Source organism: Homo sapiens, chromosome 6 (assembly GCF_000001405.40).
Source record: "Homo sapiens chromosome 6, GRCh38.p14 Primary Assembly".
NCBI lineage: Eukaryota > Metazoa > Chordata > Mammalia > Primates > Hominidae > Homo > Homo sapiens.
This window is the reverse complement of record NC_000006.12, coordinates 11,752,484-11,765,481: the sequence shown is the minus strand read 5'-3', so window position 1 is coordinate 11,765,481 and position 12,998 is coordinate 11,752,484. Positions and strand designations below refer to the sequence as shown.

General features: G+C 41.4%; 1 protein-coding gene across 8 annotated transcripts in view, besides 1 other annotated feature; it reads left to right on the top strand.

The window, feature by feature from the left end:
• The window catches only part of ADTRP (androgen dependent TFPI regulating protein), a 65,281-nt gene that overhangs the window by 13,322 nt on the left and 38,961 nt on the right, over positions 1-12,998 (top strand). The window contains exon 4 of one of the 8 annotated variants that reach the window (XM_047419419.1): positions 10,375-10,569. The exons of the other annotated variants lie outside the window; for them this stretch is intronic. Within the exon in view, the coding sequence (XP_047275375.1) occupies positions 10,375-10,422 (48 nt within the window). The 3' untranslated portion in view covers positions 10,423-10,569. Of the gene's footprint in view, positions 1-10,374; positions 10,570-12,998 lie in introns of those variants that run through there. 8 annotated transcript variants of the gene reach the window in all.
• Positions 1,924-2,166: a silencer, noted in NCBI's record as "fragment chr6:11763549-11763791 (GRCh37/hg19 assembly coordinates)". NCBI's record gives its function as "represses an EF-1alpha promoter that drives an FKBP-Casp9 reporter gene in an ReSE screen in HepG2 liver carcinoma cells {active_cell/tissue: HepG2}" and the evidence as "EXISTENCE:reporter gene assay evidence [ECO:0000049][PMID:32094911]".

Below are 12,998 nucleotides of genomic sequence, written 5' to 3'. Positions count from 1 at the left end.
GTGGCACGCTCCTGTAATCCCAGCTACACAGGAGGCTGAGGCAGGAGAATCGCTTGAACCTGGGAGGCGGAGGTTGCAGTGAGCCAAGATCGCACCATTGCACTTCAGCCTGGGCAACAAGAGTGAAACTCTGCCTCAAAAAAAAAAAAAAAAAAAAACAAACCAGGGGAAAGGCACAAGGAAGTGGCATGTCAAGACTCCTCAAAAGTTCACTCACAGACTTTCTTCCACCCTCACTCTTGCCCATCTTTCCATGGTCTTAAAACTCACAAGATGACCAACTCAGAAAAGCAACTCAGTCCACTAACACTGCCCCTGCCACAAGCCCCAGTCTCCAGAAAAAAACTAATTTCAGCTTAAATTTTGTGCTCAGTCAGTTATTGATGATTGACTGACTAATAGACCACAGCTCTGAACTCTTTTGGAGTTCAGGACCAGAACTACCTTACGTAAGTCTGACCTCTCAGGAACCCTCCTCCTCTCAACTTTTTCTTGTCAAACTCTTCACCTTCCCAGTTTCCCATGAATGTTAATCTGAGACACTGATGTAGTGAATATTCCTGCTTTTTTTTTTTTTTTTTTTTTTTAAGAAATGGTACTTTATATTGTCCAAAGCATGTTTTTCAGGTATGGGCTCATTTAATTCACACAGCCTTCTTTAGAGAACTACTATAATCCTGATTTTTACAAATGAAAAAATAAGATAAAATAAAAGCTCAGAGAGGATAAGTGATGTGCCTGAGGCCACTGAACTCATAGGAGGCACAGCTAGGATGGAAATCCGAGGCTAATGCACCCTTCGTTGCCTTTTGCTGCAGTAAGTCCAGAACTTGTGATTCGATCTGGTTTTGTTTCCTAATTCACCAGGCAATCAAAAGGACCTCGCTTTGCTTGATCAATACAGCAAAGTGTGAATTCTTACTTAAAAAAAAAAAAAGAATCCTCATCTGTATGCTACTAAACCAAAATTCTAAGAAAATGAAGAGATTTGAAACTACTGGCTGAGCTAGCTGTTACTAAAATAATAACAAAGCAGAGTCTTATAAGTATCTTTTATGTGGTGCCAAATGCACCTAGCAAACATCTTCTCAAGGTTTGTGTGCTCATCTTGTAGCTTTTTTCACAATGACTACCATCTCCCCCCCACTTCAGGGTTGATGTAAAGTTGGATTTCTTTCAAATAGTTATGATGATGGTGTCCAATATTTGTGACCTTGCTAAATAAACAGCCATATGGATTTGTGATAATTTTGGAAGCAGAGAGCTGGATAACATACATCACATCCGTGAGCTAATTAGCAAGGCAGATACTGTGCAACGGAGATGCTTAAATATTTTTGTGCCTCACAAGCTGAGGGGTGCTGTGGACCTTGCCCCTTGCCCTTTGGTCATTCAAGTAACCTGAATCCCTCAGAGAAAAGGAGCAAGGGTCAAAGGAAGTGGAACAATGGTGACAAGGAGAGAAGAGGAGGAGGAAGCTACCCCAGGTCATATACAGATGTTTCTGTGTTTCTCTTAGTTTGATTGAAGAAACTCTCAACAGATCCATCTTAGGAAAAATGTTGGTATCAGCAAAATTGGCCTCAGGTGTCCCTAACACAGTCATTCCCAAACTTCCTGCCTTCTTTTGGTGTCTGCTCCAAATTAAGTGTCCTAATAAGTATATCTCATCTCTGTCTTCTAGACTGTGTTCCTTGTTCTGGACATTTTCTGTCCTCACTATTAAATGTTCTTGGCCTATTGCCTCAAGGAATGTTCTCTGCCAAGTTCTTAAATACTAGTGTGAACTCATGGTAGAAATGGCTGCTACTGTGTCAGTTTGTTAACATTTCCCACATTTTGCCAGTGCCTGTCCATGACAGTCCAAAGGAAGGAATACAATTCTGGGAAATCACCACTATGGCAGCCAGAGTAATGACGGGCAGTCCGGCTGGGCATTTGGTACTAGGTGCCTCTGCATGGGGCTGGCCCTGTCCCCTGTACAGCTCCTTTTTCCTTTCCACAGTAGAAGAACAATTGCCTTCCATCGCCAGTGCCATGCTGTCCTGAAAGCTTCTTTCATTTCTCAACACTCCCTGTGTTTGCTATTTTAGCCTTAGCTTTGGAATATTTTCCCCATTGCCATTTATGATGCTGCCCCAGTTGTTATGAGTAGTATCTGTCAAAGTAAGAAATACCACTCTCCCCTTGGACACAGTGTGGTTGTAGGACCTTCATGATTAATCAAGTCTTTGGACTGCTCCCAGCTCAACCCTTGCAGCTCATTGGAAACTTGTCATTGCAGCAGGACTGTTCTAAGCACATTGTGTCTCTAACAGACATTTTCCTGCCTTTGTTGTGTATTCAGACTAAATAGAAACATCAGTGAGATATTTGCATCCACCGTGGACAGGGCACCTTAATTAAAGTAGATCAATCTGACTGTTTTAGTGCTAAGCAGTTCTCCAGTCTTCATAAAACAAGGGAAAGAACAGCAAAGTAGCCCTTCAGGTTTTGCCAGGAAAACATTAACTCCTCAGGTCTTATCTAAATGCCTACTAAAGATAGAATCAGAGCAGACAGATTTAAATAGCAGTAAGAGGACTCTCAGTAACTGAGAAAATTATCAGATCCTAACCCGAGGGGAGCTGGGGGACTTATTTCTCTGGAAATCAACCTAAATTGTTCAGGTCGCCCCAAAGGAGAGGTGAAATAGATCAGAGAACTCCTCAGAGCCCCTTCTATCTTTGAAAATAGTACATGATTATTGAGAACGTGTGTGCAAACTTCAACAGCTGTCAAGGACTGCATGAATGTAAGGTATTCTCATGTAAAACTTAAGAATTCCCAGCCAAGATCCACTAGCTTATTCTCAATCCATGATCACAGAGTCTTAGAACTGAAAAAGTTTCATTGATGTTAAGGGGGGTTTCAAAACAATCTGCTATTGAGAGACAGGACCTTCCCTGGCTCTTTAAATTGGAGAAAGTCCCAGATACAGCCACCTAGTTATTTAATATGTTGTCATTTATTCACTTGAAAAAGAGCAGTTAAGTACCACTATGCGTGTGACACTATGATTGATATTTATTGAGGGTTTTGACATCTAGCAATCTTAAATCTGGTTGAGTCTAATGTACACACACGAAGTTGAAATAGTGAGTGAATGCTTACACAAGGCAGTGGCATACTGGTGTTAGGCGGAGGGACATGGTTATTGCTGAAGGAAGAACATGGACAGGAGGGGTTCTGTGCCCTACCTGTCCTGGCCTGACTGTAACTCATGAGCAAGGCATGGCTAGTTGGCCTGGATGGCCTTTGAGCCGTCTCCCAGGGATGTGCTGGGAAGTCAAAATGCCCAGGGAGTAAAACTTAAAATCTTCTAGTTTCTCCCTCAGTCATAGCATGCAAGATGATATCATTAGCATTCTGACCCAATCACAGATTTTTCTCTGCCACCCATAAGCTTGGTGTGAAATTGTTGGGCTGCTAAGTGGGGGTGAGTAAGGTCAGCCACTCTTCATCCCAAGCATTGCAAACTCCTCCCACCCTTCCTGATTCCTCACCCTCAATTCAGCCCCAGCCCTGGGCATAGGTCACCCACAGTCTACATACCTTGGTACAACTCAGTGGTTTTCAACCTTGAGGGAAGAGGCTCCTCTGTGAACCTGAAAATATCTATAGACTGTTTTTCCAGGAAAATACAAATACCCATAAAATTTTGTGTACAATTTTAGGAGGCTCATGAGCCCTCCAAATTCCATTTATGGGCCTCTTACCTAGAACACCTGACATAACTGAACATACACTTGAAAAGAAGGTCCCCAGATGATTTCCATTGCTGAGTTCAAATCAAAAAGACAAAATGAAGAATCACTCATTTGAAAATCACTCATATGTGCTTTGGGCTATTGTGTCCTTATGTGGGTGACAGGAAAAACATCAAATATGGTCCCTAATCTTAAGAAATTTAAAAGAGATATTATATACCTAATCTAATATGCAATATAGCTAAGATGTATAATAATAAGCAAGACATTTGATTTTAACATAAGGAAGTGCTAAAAAGTATTTATCAGATGCCTGCTATGTACAAGGCCCTATTCTAAGAGCTGAAAATGCAGCAATGAACAAGACCATCGAAAAGATCTGTCCTTGTGGACTATACACACATCCCAGTGGGGAAGATAAGCAGTAAACACACAATAAATAGGGCGAGAGAACGGAGTGGTGTGTGGGTGGGTGTGTTTGTGTAAAAAAGGCAGGTTTAATAGCGTACAGGGAAATTATGGTGGCCAAGGGATGCCTCTATGATGAGCTGATATTTTAATAAAAATTTGGATAGGGTGAAGGAAACAGCCACAGGACATTCTGGCAGAAGAAAGGCTCAGGCAGCAGAACAGTGACTTTAAAAAGCCTCCAAGGAAATACTGGCATCTCTAAAAAACAAGAAGACCAGCATGGCTGGTTCAGATTGAGGAGGGAGGAGATAAGAGGGTGTAGCCAGGGTTCAGATTATGCCTCATGTGACTTGCAAGGAGTTTGCATTTTATTCTGAGTATGATAGAAAGTCACCTCTTCAGGGACACCTTCTTTGTCCCTCCCTACCATACATGTATATACTTAATAATCCATATGGCAAAAAGAAAGAGAAAATATTTTTAGCCTAAGCCACAGGGAAGGAGTATGGATACAGAGGCTTGGGAGGTGCAAGGATTGTGAATAAGGAAATCAATTGTTCCATTTAGGCACGTGAGTTTTAGATGCCTATTAGATAATGATGTCAAGACGTGGAACAGGCAGCTGGACATACTGCTTGCTGTAGCTTGGACACATGTAGGGTAGCTTTCTGGGATGGTGACATACATCTGATTATCTTCATTATGCAGATTGTTTTTAAAGTTAAATTTAATAAAATCACCTAGGGGGTAGTTATGGTTAGATAAGATATTCCAGGAGACTAAGTCTTGGAATACTCCAGCCTTCAGTGTTTGGGAGGAAGGGGAGGGAGATTCAACAAAGGAGATCGTGAAGGAGGTGCCAGTGAGCTAGGAGGAAACCCAGTGCAGTGTCGTCTCTTGGAGCTCAGTGTAAAAATGTTTCAAGAAGGAGGAAGTATTTTATGTCCAAAGCTGCTGAGAGGTGAATATGATGACCTTGTAAGAGGACTCGAGTCAGACCTTTCCACTGGACTTGGCAATTTCGTACTCGCTGGTGACCTGTTCAAGGGCAGTTTTGAGAGTGTGTGGGGGGAGGATAGAGCCTTGGTTATGCTCTGTCCTTGTGGACTATACACACATCCCAGTGGGGAAGATAAGCAGTAAACACACAATAAATAAACAAGGTGAGAGAACAGAGTAGTGTGCTTGTTGCTATTACAAATTAATGCAAATTTCGTAACTGAACACAGTACAAATGTGTTATCTTAACGTTTGGAGGTCAGAAGTTCAAAATGGATTGTATGGGAGGAAATCCATGTACCAGCAGAGTGGCATTCGTTCTGGAGTCTGTGGAGGAGACTCTGTTTCCTTACTTCTTCCAGGCAGACCACTTACCTTCCTTGGCTCATAGCCCTTTCCTCCTCCTCCTTCAAAGCACACCACTGCAGCCTCTGCTTCCACCATCTTCACATCACCTTTTGTTCTGCCTCTGCCATTCCCACCTCCCTCTTATAAGGACCCCTGGGATTACAATGGACCCATCCAGATGACTCAAGATAGCCTCTTACTCTTAAAATCCTTAATTTAATTACATCTTCAATGTCTCCTTTGTCATGCAAGGTAACATATCAACATATTCACGGGTTCCAGGGATTAGGACATAGACATCTTTGGGGACCATTATTCAGCCTCCTATGCTATAAGATAACACCACTGAATGCAAACCTAGGTCTCTGCATTGTAACCCTTTTCACCCCAGTTTTGAAAAGGCTGTCTTACACTACATATAGCAAAACTCATGTAATAATGACCTCTATTCTAAGTATTTTCTTTTTTAAAAAAAAAAGTTTTGCAGTTACCTATCAATAGAAAAAGTAAGGCACTACATATATAATTTGATAGAGATTGTATGATACAGATGCAAAGTGTGGTAAAAGTAGAAAAGGTAAAGCTCAGAATGGCTGGTCAGAGAAGGAGGTATCAGATCTCAAAGGATATTGATAAGTAGTGATCAGTAGGATATTGATAAAGGTGACAGCACATTCCCAAATATTGACAGTGTCAAATTCAGGTTTTTCCAAAAGGTTCTTCTACTCCTCCTCTTCCCTTCCACTTCCCCTCTCTGCCCCTGTTCCCTCAAAGAGAATTGCTGGCTAAACGTCAGTCTTCCAAGGGGCCCAACAAAAGACATTGCTTGGCATCTCGCTAGTGAACAGTAGGCCTCCCTTTGCAAATGTCACTTGATATGAGTCACTACGCCAGCCCCATCTCACTCCCTGCCAGGTGAGCAGGATTGCCCTTCCTCCATACTGCCTAAAGGAATATTGGCCTCAATCATATTCTCTGCAACACGGGCCTGGAACATGAGCAGGGCAAGTTGATCAGAAGAAGAGAAGCAAGAGAGTAAAGGCTTTATTTACTCCAAGACATGGGACAGCATGCTTTCTGAACTATCACAGAGCAGACCAATGGATTGTGACCAGATGTTCCTTTTTGCAGCCAGAATCAATGCCCCACCTTGCCCCACTTTCTCAATGTACCAACACCACCCTGAAGTGCTTCATGTAGGGTATTAAAAAGCCACTTTCTTTCTTTATTATTATTTATTTATTTATTTTATTATTATTATACTTTAAGTTTTAGGGTACATGTGCACAACGTGCAGGTTAGTTACATATGTATACATGTGCCATGTTGGTGTGCTGCACCCATTAACTCGTCATTTAGCATTAGGTATACCTCCTAATGCTATCCGTCCCCCCCCCCCACCCCACAACAGTCCCCGGTGTGTGATGTTCCCCTTCCTGTGTCCATGTGTTCTCATTGTTCAATTCCCACCTATGAATGAGAACATGCGGTGTTTGGTTTTTTGTCCTTGCGATAGTTTGCTGAGAATGAAAAAAAAGCCACTTTCTTTAGAGACCATGGAGAAAACCTGGAGGCTGTGTTTCACGTAGCTACACATACGGGGATTCTCGTTTTAAAGAGTGATGCTGCATGACTCTGCTTCCACTGCCAAAGCATTAACCCAACAACCAATATTCATTAAAATCTCATCATGTGCTGGGCACAGAGTGGGCACCATTTGGCCTAGCAGGGGATAAAAGACAATATTCCCATCATGAAAATATAAAAAGTCAAAGAACAAGCCACAAGATGCTGTCAAAGAGTGCAGAATAAGGTCCAATGAATGCCATGAGCATACTTCTAAAGGGAAGGTCACTTCCCACTGCACAGATTAGAACAGATGATGAATGAGTTGGAGATTTGAGCTGCAGTTCAAAGGTTGGATAGAAAAGACAGCAAGTGATGTCCAAGTATGAGGAATATTGAGCCGAAGGAGAGAAATGTCTGAGCCCAAGGCAGGCTCAGGGCACCATGAGTAAGTAGATCAGTGTATTTGTTTCCTAGGCTGCCATAATAAAGCACCACAACTGGTGCTTTATTAACAGAAATGTATTCTCACACAGTTCTGGAGGCTAAGTGTCCGAAACCAAGGTGCTGGCAGAGCCATACTCTCTCAGAAGGCTCCAGATGAGAATCTACTCCATGCCTTCTTCAGCTTCTGGTGTTGCCAGCAGTCCTTGGCTTGTAGACACATCACTGCTGTCTCTGCCCTGTCATCACATGACATTTCCCCTGTTTGTGTGTCTGTCTTTACCTCTTCCTCCTTGCAGATATGTGCCTCTGTGCCTCTTCTCCTTTTTTATAAGGATACCAACCAGATTGGTTTAAGGTCCCCTACTCCAGTATGACCTCATCTTAATTAATTACATTTGCATTTGTTTCCAAATGAGGTAACATTCTGAGATTCCAGGAATGACATGAATTTTGAGGACACTATTTAACCTAGTACAGTTAGTTTGGCAAGAGCAAAGGTATCAAAGAGGGGAAAAGATATCAAAGAGGAGAAACAGACGTGGGGTCAGATATTGAAGGGCATGAATGCTAAGGATTTTGTTTCTATTCTGTAGGCAAAGGAGATTGATAGAAGGTTTTGAACTTGGAATAGTCTCTACCTTCAAGTGCTCATAATTAGAGAGTAAAAGATTGGGGGGATTTAAGAGATGTTGCCATCATATAGGGTGGGTTAGCGTTGGAATCACTTCCATGACTTACTAAAAAAAATCAAAAATCAAAAGCTCTCCCTGAATTTCAGACTCTACATTTCTTTTGTAGGGAAACACTGGAAATATACTGTATATTATTTTTCCTTTATTCTGATTTCCAGGCAAAAGAAGAAGAGAGTAAAAATATATTTCTGATACACACTTAAAATGCCCATTTTGGTTCTGTTAATACAACATTCATTATCTTTGTAAATTGCTTGTAATCTGTGTTGGTTGTGATCTGAGTCAGTGTTAGTTGCTATCAAATAGTGAGCCCTAATTCATCTTCCCTTGTGTTGCTTCCTGGAGACATAAATGTCAACCTAGAATCATAGAGCTGAAATGCCTCAATCTCTACAAACCGCTCACCTTGCAGAAGAGGAAACTGAGGTTTGAGTAGTTTATTCAACTTTCCCAAGACCACAGAACTGATTAGTGATAGAGCTGGGTCTAGAATATGATCCAAAGTCATAAACCTGTGTTTTCTCTAATATTCATGTGCTTAATACATCCCTTACTCAAGGCAAGCCCAGTCCCATAGTCAGAAAAAAAAATAAATTTCTTCCTCCATAATCTTTGTATAAACACATAGCCAGCATCTACTATCTGCATAGTTTTCCTTTACTCTATTCCTTAACTCACTGTTAATTAAACTTTTTTTTGAGATAATTGTAGATTTACATGTAAGTGTAAGAAATCATAGAGGTCTTGTGTACTCTTTGCCCAGTTTCCCCCAATGGTAACATCTCAATGCATTTTTTAAATGACACTTTTCCAAGGTAGGGCGTATGAAATGTCTTTAAAATCACAATCTCAAAAGCAACTGTTTCACATCAAGTCACCAAACTGTGATTCCCCATCCCTTGTACCATTAAATTATTATTATTATTATTATTATTTGAGACACAGTCTCGCTTTGTCACCTAGGCTGGAGTGCAGTGGCATGATCTCCACTCACTGCAGCCTCAGCCTCCCAAGTAGCCGGACTTACAGGCACATGGGCACATGCAACGCCTGGCTAATTTTTTGTGTTTGCTAGAGATGGGGTTTCACCATGTTGAATTCCTGAGCTCAAGCGACCCACCTGCCTCAGCCTAACAAAGTGTTGGGATTACAGATGTGAGCCACTAGGTCCAACCCCCTTGTACCATTACATTCTAAAATCTGCTCTTGCCATATTCTAGACCAGGTCTACATGAGAAAGAGAAAACATGACTGGCAACAATGACCAGCAAATAGTATTGGGAAATAACTTCTCATGTGAGTCTAGGGAGAATAGAGATACATAAACTAAGCCAATGTATGAATGTCTCCATGGCATCCCAAGGGGAAGGCCCTTGTTCAGAGCATTGCCAAACATGTACCAAAGCTCCCGAGCAGAAATAAAGTGGAATCATTCACCACACCCAGATATTTACTTGGATATCATTTCAGGTTTTAGCATTACAGTGTTGTTGATGGGTGGTTCCTTGTTTTGAAACAACTTTCTAGCCACCCTTTTTTAAAAAATTCATTCCACTAACTTCCTAACCTAGAGTAGGTCAGAATCTTTTCCGTCATTTACCTGGGAAACACTGAGACACTGAGTGCCTTAAATGCCACAGTGAAATCAGAAGCTAAACTGGGATGAGGAAGCAGAGTTACCTGAATAATCACAATAAAGCCATTTTGCCTCTCAAGAAATCTTAAGCTAAACAGAGGAAAGTCTAATAGTGAACACGTCCAGAGGACGACCAGTCCACTGGTGGTTTTCCATAGCTAGGACCAGGCACTCACTGTGTTTGCTTTCTTCATCTCTGGAGAGCAGGGACCAGGATGATGAAAGCATGCCTTTTCTTTTTTTCCTCCTTTTAATCCCAATTCAAAGAACTTCCAATGTATGCTCAAGAGTAGCATATTTTTAAAATTCCATTATTCAGTGATTTCCTATTATCAACAGGCTGCTTTTTAAACAGAAGAAAACCAGTAAAAAAAAAAATTCTAATTTCTCAATCAAGGTCAAAGGTTTTTAGTGATCAAAAAAGTATAGATGTCTTCTGAGAAGTTACTAGGAATTTTAGTAATTAAAATTATTCAGTGACCTTGAGGGCTTGCTGGTGAGTCCCTCTCCTGTGTGAATCAACCAGTGCTCACATCCTTGGCAACCATGTGTAACACCCCAACGGGAAGAATGACTTGATGCTGGAGAATAACCAGGCTGGAGAAACTCATAACAGAAGATCCTAAATCTCTCTGAAATACTAAGAGCAAAAACTAAAAATCTAAGTGGAAGGAAAGAGCCAAACTCCCATGATCTCAAGACAGACGTGAAAAATCCCCGAGAGCAGCCTGCTGGGCGGATGAGAGCGCCTTCTCTGCCAGGTTAGTACTGACACTCCTCTTCCTAATTAAATAGCCAGCACAGAAAAGGCCCTGCCATGCTTCTGGTTGCTTAATAACCCCAGAGGCAGACACGCTGTAGGCTGTGGAGTTCCGTCCTTGCCTTGAATAGGGAGCTTCTGACAGGTTCTCAACCAGCCCCCACACCTTGTTCCTGGTCTCATCATCTTCTCTGCCTACTAAGAAGCCACTTATGCCTAATTGGAAATTTGAATTTGTCCAATTCCTCTGTCTTCCTCCCACCTCCAGGTCCTTGGATTACCAGCCAGTGGAATAATTCTGCAGAGCATTTCCTGGTAGTCCTCTTGATAGTGTAATTACACTTGCCCATGTATTACACGTCCGTCACGTGGATCCTTAGCTCTTAGATATTTCTCATCTTGAGTTTCTGAATTTTCAGCTCTGCCCTTTATCTTCCTCTCCCAATCCAAGATCCAAGTCCATTTATATAGAGAAGGTCCTTGTTTTGCCATCTCCCTCCTCAGTCTCTTCAACTCTTTCAACCTATCGTTGGCCTACCTACCTTAGCTTCATCCCCTTTCTGTCACTCTCATGCATTTGCTGGATTTATCATTTCCTCTAAAACTTTACAATGGGGTAAAACTAAAGAGGGGTGCAGAAATGAGGACAAGAAAGAGCTCTGTCTCTAGGAAGCTCATGCATGTTAAGCCATGTGAGAGACAGGGGGACCCGCCAGTATCTACTGAAGTGTGAGTAAAAGGTCTGCTCAAATTTGGGATTCTGTTGATTCTCACTCAGATCACTGATCTTAGGGATTCTACGTTGAGTGCAGAGTGTACTTGCAAACTTTTAACGGGGGCTGACAATTAAAATGGCCCCAGATGCCATTTGAGAGCACCTCGATTAACACAAAAATCTCTGGGTGTGTTGGTGCATCCTCCCTCTATCTGCTCAGAGAACCAGCAATGTAATTATGTTGGCATTGAAACAGAATTCAGCCCTGATGATAACAGGCCTACTGATCAGGAGCAGTAGGATGTGGCCATTGCTTGCAAATGCTGGTTTTGCTATCATCTTAGGACATGTGACTCTAAGAGATGATAATAAGATGAGATTTCCTTTTTTACCCATTTCATGCTTGACAATGAATATTATTTTGTAGCAGTGATTGGCAGAAATAGTAAAATACTTAACCTATCTAACAGTATTTAATAAAGGTCTTTTGTCTCCAATTGGCACAGGGAGTTTAGTTTAAGGCTTATATATGGGAACATTTTAATTAATATGCATACTCTTTCTGACATATTTTAAAATAATACTTCACTAACCTAATGTCAGAGTCAGAAGCTTAAAATATCATCAGGATCACAGAAATTGTAAGTGTGGCAAAAAAAGGCACTTCAGAAATATTTGTTGAATATTTGACAACTGAAAGATTGAGTTGCCTGTCCAATGAGAATGACCCTTAGATTTAGTGGCTTCTTTTTTTTCAGATGGTGACGTTTAGAGCACAATGCATATAACCTAATCATCTTCAGGTACAGGTCATCAGGAAATGGACCATCTGGTAACTCAAATCTATTCACAAATGCCCCTTCACATTTTTAAAATGTCTACTTGGGCTAAAAAGTTGAAAGGGATAAGCTACTAGAAATAAAGGTGTTAGAGCTTGATCCCTAAAAGTCAGATTGGTGTGAGGAGGAGCAAAATTTCTTAGCTCTATGTCCAAGTTGTAAAAATAATTGACAAGTTTGTTTTCTAGTTCATGAAAAGAATTAAGTACCAGAAAACCTCAACTCTGATTCCATTTCTGCCATTGCCTTGCTGTGTGCTTTCAGAAAAATTAATAAACCTCTCTTGATATTGGGTTCCTTTAAACAGGCAAAGTATGTTTACCATCCTTAATTCTCCGCATTGTTATCAGAAACAAATATATTACATGTGCAATATAAAGTGCTATCAGTGATACATTAACGACCCATGCAAATCGTTATTGACTTGGAATCACCATCGCCTCTTCTCCATTCTCCTCTGCGTTGCAGGGGATAAACCCGGAGCCACCCACTGTTGCTAGAATCCCTTTCTCCATATGGTTCCAGGCAACAGTCAGCCAATGAGAGGCATTCTCATGAGGTGTGGAGGAAGAGAATCCATTATTCCCTAGTGGGTAGTTTCAAATAGATGTGTGGGAAGATTGCAGACATGAGGTTAGCAGTGGCTTCTGGAAAAGCACCTAGGAATCACACACTTCATCCTGCGAGTAGCTGAGATCAATGATAGCAGTTCATGAAGACTTTTGACACTTGTAGCAGCTTCCTGGTGAGCTCCCATGAATCACCCCCATCTGGTTGAAATTTCCTTTATTTTTCACTGCCCTTCCCTTTTCAACAGCTTCCTAAGCCTTGAAACC